At 44.2% G+C, this 6,986-nt stretch overlaps 1 annotated feature.

Annotated features, from left to right (window-relative positions):
* Positions 233–527: an enhancer, noted in NCBI's record as "tiled region #15674; HepG2 Activating non-DNase unmatched - State 24:Quies, and K562 Activating DNase unmatched - State 24:Quies". NCBI's record gives its function as "activates a minimal TATA promoter and a strong SV40 promoter by Sharpr-MPRA in HepG2 cells, with weaker activation in K562 cells {active_cell/tissue: HepG2 | K562}" and the evidence as "EXISTENCE:reporter gene assay evidence [ECO:0000049][PMID:27701403]".

The raw sequence follows: 6,986 nt of genomic DNA on the forward strand, positions 1-6,986 counted from the left end.
GCGGGCTTCCAGGAAATAGTCGCTTTTTTGTGGGCATGTATATGGTGGGCTCTGTTAGATTTTGAAGGGAAGGTGAAGGTTAAAGAAAGAGAGAGAGTTGGCGGCTCTATGGAGGGGACCAACTAAATGCCAGAGCCCACTGCCGCTTACAGGCTGGAGTAATTATAGGCCTGGGCAGGAGGGATCTGGGCAGTATAGCTTGTTGCCTGGGAGAATGTTGATAAGGATGTTTCTTGGGCCTTTCCCCAGCAGGATGTGATAAGGAAGTCAGGCGGTTGGGGAGGATGTTTCTCGCAGCCCAAACCCCAGTGGAATGTTTCCCTCTGACCAGGGTCTGTGAAATGGTGGGGGCTTACAAATCGGTGCAGCTTGGACTAACAGGCTCTGGTGACCACTTTCCTTTTCTGGACATGCTTTGGACTGTGAGCCGAGCCTCTGTGAATCATCACTTCAGCCCCTGATTGGTCCTGGGCCAAACTTTCACTTCAGCCCCTGATTGGTCTTGGGCCAAAATTTCACTTCAGCCTCTGGTTGGTCCCAAGCTAAGGTCCCGGGCCAAGCGAAGTTGTGCTTTCTCCAAGACAGCTCACAGACTAGTGAGCACATTCTTCCCCTTCCCAGTTCACAAAACCCCCAGATTCAGCCTCCTAGTTGGCAACCCTCTTTCGGGTCCCCTCTCCGCTGGGGAGAGCTTTCTTCTTTTGCATATTAAACTTCTGTTCCAACCTCATCCTTTGTGTCCACATTCCTTAACATTCTTGGCTGTGAGGGAAAGAAGGCAAAGACAAGAGCCTTTATCCTAACAACTCAATTGCTGGAGAGAAGATTCATGCATATTCTATGTGGCATCACATGCCATAGCCCTGGGATTGAAAGCCATGCAATTTAAGGGATGGTGTTAATCTCAGTCCAAATAGGTAATAAGATCTTGCACTTTGCTATATTTTAGGGGTAGGAATGAGATTGGGGGTTTGATCAATAATTTGTACCCATAGGACCAGTGATTTGCCCAGTCATCTGTGAGTAAATGCTTGGGCCAGTTTCCATGTCTGTATTGAATTAAAAACTCATACGGTTCTGTGATTTTTGTCAAATACAGATTTGGTCTTTGTCCCTATTTCCTGGTATACAACTCCTAAAATCCTTGGAATGTCCTAAGGGCTTGCTTTTTTTTTTTTTTTTTTTTTTTTTGAAATGGAGTCTTGCTCTGTAACCCAGGCTGCAGTGCAGTGGCGCAATCTCCACTCACTGCAACCTCTGCCTCCCGGGTTCAAACAATTCTTCTGCCTCAGCCTCCCAAGTAGACTACAGGCATGTGCCACCATGGTCGGCTAATTTTTGTCTTTGTTTTCTTTTTTAGTAGAGACGGGGTTTCACCATATTGGCCAGTCTGGTCTCGAACTCCTGACCTCAAGGGATCTGCCTGCCTCGGGCTCCCAAAGTGTTGGGATTACAGGCATGAGCCACTGCACCCAGGCTTTGGCTTTTATATGTTAGGGATTGACCGATAGCTTCAGGATGTGGGCTGGTCATCAGAAAGACCAAGGCAGGATTAGAGGGCTGGGACTTTCAGCCCCTACTCTCCCACCCCTGGGGAGTGGAGGGGACTGAGGATTAAGTTGATGGCAAGTGGCTAATGGTTTAATCAATCATGCCTATGTAATGAGGCCACCTTACAAACCCAAAAGGAGTGGATTCGGAGAGCTTCCAGAGAGCTGAACACATGGAGGTTCCTGGAGGGTCGTGCCCAGGGAGGGGATGGAAGCTCTGTGCCCCTTCCCCCATACCTCACGCTAGGCATCTCTTCATCTATATCCTTTGGAATATCCTTGTAATCAAACAGTAAATGTGTTTCCCTGAGGTTTGTGAGCCATTTTATTCTAGCAAATTAATCAAACCCAAAGAGGGGGTCGTAGGAACCCCAAATTAAATCTGTCAGTCAGAAGTTCCAGAGGCTGGGACTTGTGGCTGGTGTCTGAAAGGGGGGCAGTTTTGGGGGCTGAGCCCTCAATCTGTGGGGTGACACTATCTCATGGTAGATAGTGTCAGAATCGAATTGGTGGATACCCAGCTGGTGTCTGCTGCAGAACTGATTCCTTGCTTGCTGATAGGGAGAAATCTCCTCATATTTTGAGGCCACAGAAGTCTTCTGGGTAGATTGTTGTGGTTTTGGTGTGAAGCAGAGGGAGAACACAGGTTGAGTTTTTTCCAAATGGATTCACATTGGGGGTCCTCAACCTCAAATCCATCAACTCCATCGCTGAATTTTTATTTATGTATTTATTTTTATTTTTGAGGTAGAGTCTCACTCTCTCTCCCAGGCTGGAGTGCAGTGGTACCATCTCAGCTCATTGCAGCCTTCATCTCCTATGCTCAAGTGATCCTTCTACCTCAGCCTGCCAAATAAGCTGAAACCAGAGGCACACACTAGCACTGTGGCATAATTAAAAATAATTTTCAGTAGATAAGAAGACTCACTATGTTGTCTGGGCTGAACTTGAACTCCTGAGTTCAAGTGATCCTCCCACCTCTGCCTCCAAAGTTCTATGATTACAGGCATGAGCTGTCTCACCTATCACTGATTTTCTTTTTCTTTCTTTCTTTTTTTTTTTTTTTTTTGACAGAGTCTCACTCTGCCTTGCCCAGGCTGAACTGCAGTGGTGCAATCTCGGCTCACTGCAGCCTCCGCCTCCCGGGTTCAAGTGATTCTCCTGTCTCAGCCTCCTGAATAGTTGGGATTAGAGGTGCCCACCACCACACCTGACCAATTTTTGTATTTTTAGTAGAGACAGGGTTTCACCATATTGGCCATGCTGGTCACCAACTCCTGATCTCAGGTGATCCACCTGCCTTGGCCTCCAAAAGTGCAGTGGCAGGATCAGGGCATACTGCAGCCTTGACCTCCGGGGCTGAAGGGATCCTCCCTCCTCAGCCTCCCAAGTAGCTGGATTATAGGCATATGGCACCATGCCAGGCTAATATTTGTAATTTTTGCACAGATGGTGTTTTGCCATGTTGCCCAGTCTGGTCTTGAACTCCTGAGCTCCAACAATCTTCCCACCTGAGCCTCCCAAAGTGCCGGGATTACAGGAAAGAGCCACTGCACCCGGCCTATCACTGCATTTTTAAAGGGAAGGAGGACTATAGTGAGATTCACTAAGGCTTACAGAAAAGGTAGAACCCTAGATAGATTTAAAGACAGAGATTATAATATCCTTGAGATAATATCCAAATTTAGCTTTCATAGATAGGGAAATTTGAAGTACATCAGACTATAAGGTGGCATTTTGTGCAACTAATTAAAACTATGTTTGAAAGAGAGCAATTGCATTTTCATTACTGAGTAATATTAAGCAACAATGAAAATAAATAGAAATAACCAAGAAATTGTTATATTTAAATCTTCCCTCCTTTTTTGGAAAGAGAAGTATTGATATTTTTAGATTCTAATCAAAACTTCTCTTAAAAAAAATTGATGATTCTATGGAGATAGGGAGGGAATAACCTGTGTTTATTGAACACCTAATATTCCACTTACCCAAATGTCATTTATTCTATATTCTAGTTTTTTGTTGAGACAGGGTCTTTCTTGCTCTGTTACCCATCCTAGAGTGCAGTGGGGTTGTCACAGCTCACAGATGTATACCACCATGCCTGGCTTATTATTTTATTTTATTTTATTTTATTATTTTATTTTATTTTATTTTATTTTATTTTATATTTTATTTTATTTTATATTTTATTTTATTTTATTTTATATTTTAATTTTATTTTATTTTATTTTATTTTATTTTTGCAGAGATGATGTCTCCCTATATTTCCCAGGCTTGACTTGAACTTCTGGGCTCAAGCGATCCTCCTGCCTTGGCATCCCAAAGTGCTGGGATTATAGGCATAAGCCACTGTGCTCAGGCAATATTAAAGTCTTGATAATAGAAGTGTCTCAGTGTACTGGAATGCTTTGTCTAAATTTTGAAAAAATATTAAAAAACACGTTGGTTTTATTTGGCCAATACTGATTTCTTTGCTCCCTCATTATTTATTGTCATTATTAGCCTGTTGACTTTCAATTTCTTTACATCCCTTTCACTCCTTTTATTTTGTCCCCCAAATAGAAATTCTTTTTTTTTTTTTTTAGATGGATTCTCGCTCTTGGCTCTTGTGACCCAGGCTGGAGTGCAGTGGTGCAGTCTCATCACTGTAATCTTCACCTTCCAGGTTCAGGCAATTCTCCTGCCTCAGCCTCCAGAGTAGCCTAGATTACAGGCATGTGCCACTACACCCCGCTAATTTTTTGTATTCTTTCTTTTTTTTTTTTCTTTGAGATGCAGTTTCGCTCTTGTTGCCCAGGCTGGAGTGCAATGGCATGAACTCTGCTCACTGCAACTTCTGCCTCCCAGGTTCAAGCAATTCTCCTGCTTCAGCCTCCCAAGTAGCTGGGATTAGAGAGTGAGTCACCACACCTGACTAATTTTTATATTTTTAGTAGAGACAGGGTTTTGCCATGTTGGACAGGCTGGTCTGGAACACCTGATCTCAAGTCATCTGCCTGTCTTGGCCTCCCAAAGTGCTGGGATTACAGGCATGAGCCACTGTGCCCGGCTTTTTTGTATTTTTATATTTATTTATATTTTGATAGAGAGTCTCACTCTGTTGCCCAGGCTGGAGTGCAGTGACACAGTCTTGGCTCACTGCAACCTCTGCCTCCCAGGCTGAAGTGATTCTCCTGCCTCTGCCTCCCGAGTAGCTGGTATTACAGGCACCTGCCACCACACCTGGCTACCTTTTGTATTTTAGTTAGAGACAGGGTTTCACCATGTTGGCCAGGCTGGTCTTGAACTCCTGACCTCAGGTGATCTGCCCACCTTGGCCTCCCAAAGTGGCCTTGCTTGAGGCCAGGAGTTTGAGGCCAGCCTGGCCAACATGGTGAAACCTGCTCTCTACCAAAAATACCAAAAAAAAATTAGCCGGGTATGGTGGTGTGTGCCTGTATTCCAAGCTACTTTGATGGCTGAGTCACAAAAATCACTTGAACCCGGGAGGCAGAGGTTGCAGTGAGCTGTGATCACCTCACTGCTCTGTAGCCTGGGTAACAGATTGAGACTTGTCTCAAAAAAAAAAAAAAAAAAATTCTTGGCAGGACGTGGTGGCTCACACCTGTAATCCCAGCACTTTGGGAGGCCAAGGTGGGTTGATCCCCTGAGGTCAGGAGTTTGAGACCAGCCTGACTAACATGGAGAAACTCCATCTCTCCTAAAAATACAAAATTAGCTGGGCGTGGTGGTGCGTGCCTTTAATCCCAGCTACTCGGGAGTATGAGGCAGGAGAATCACATGAACCCAGGAGGCAGAGGTTGCAGTGAGCCAAGATCACACCACTGCACTCCAGCCTGGGCAACAAGAGCGAAACTCCATCTCAAAAAAAGAAAAAAAATCTTTACTTTGGATGAATACTTAGAAATGGAATTTCCAGGTCGGCCTTTAGATATTATTAATGGATTTAATATGAAAAACCTTTACTTGAGGATGTATAAAGCTTTAAAAGACAAGGTCCCTGCTCTTAAGCTATAAATAAAGCAGCATTTGTAAGGTAATATTCAGAAAACATCAGATAATCTCCTATAAAGTCCTCCTGTTCATGCTGATGACATTAGATGGCCAGTTAAGAATGACACTTCATTCTTTCCCCTGCAACCACGTTCCTGACATGTCTAAATGATACTGGCCCTATGAGAACACTGTGGATGTGAAATCATTTCCTCAAGTTATCTTTTTGGCCTGCTGGTTTTAATCTAATAATGGGATATCCAAAGTGAATCTAACGGAGTGACATGATTGTGCATCTGTTGGGGTGAATCAGAGACAGCTAGAGCAAGGGCAGACACGTGCTAAACTCATCTGTCTTAAGAGCTGAAGCAAGCAGCAGTGTTGCTAGCAGAGCTACTGCACATCTGTACACGTGGCTCCAATGGCTCTGACCTGTTTTTTTCCTAGTATGAACCTAATACACGAGACAAGTTAAAAAATCAGAGTTGGCCAGGCATGGTGGCTCATGCCTGTAATCCTAGTACTTTGGGAGCCAATGTGGGTGGATCACTTGAGGCCACGATTTCGAGACCAGCCTCAGCAACACAGTGAAACCCCATCTCTACTAAAAATACAAAAATTAGGTGGGTGTGGTGGCAGGCACCTGTAATCCCAGCTATGGGAGGCTGAGGTTGCAGTGAGCCAAAATCAGGCCACTGCACTTCAGCCTGGTTGACAGAGCAAGGCTGTCTCAAGAAAAAAAAAAAGGGAAAGGAAAGGAAAGAAAATCACAGCTTGTTAGCCACTTGCAGCTAAACACATATGCACAAAAATTATTCAGTAAAAGCAAAACAGTTTTGGTGTATCTTGAGATTTTGTTTTATATCCAAAGGAAGACTATATCTTTCATCTTTGAACTAGTCTTTGGAAAATGCCGTCTATATAACAAATGTTATAGTTTTCTTCTAATTGGGTCTTGAGGTCTCTCAGGAGAATGGCTATAAACTCTACCTCACTCTAATGGGGCTCTAGGGGAGGGGCCTGTGGGTCTTTAGAGTAGCCTTTCACCAGAAATTTCTTTTTTCTGGACCACAGCCTAATGCTCAAGTATCTGACCCATGACCAGGTGTCTCACAGGAAACTTGTTTATACTAGCAGATGGCCTAGTAACTTTTGTCTGACCTGTGTGCAGTTTATTCCTACCATGATACCACTCTTTTTTTTTTTTTTTTTGAGACGCAGTCTTGATCTGTTACCAGGCTGGAGTGCAGTGGCACGACCTTGGCTCACTGCAATCTCCACCATCTGGGTTCAAGCAATTCCCCTGCCTCAGCCTCCCAAGCAGCTGGGACTACAGGCGTGCACCACCATGCCCAGCTAATTTTTGTATTTTTAATAGAGTCAGAGTTTCACCATGTAGTCCAGGATGGTTTTGATCCCTTGACCTCATGATCTGTCCTA

This window comes from Homo sapiens, chromosome 9, assembly GCF_000001405.40.
Source record: "Homo sapiens chromosome 9, GRCh38.p14 Primary Assembly".
Taxonomy (NCBI): domain Eukaryota; kingdom Metazoa; phylum Chordata; class Mammalia; order Primates; family Hominidae; genus Homo; species Homo sapiens.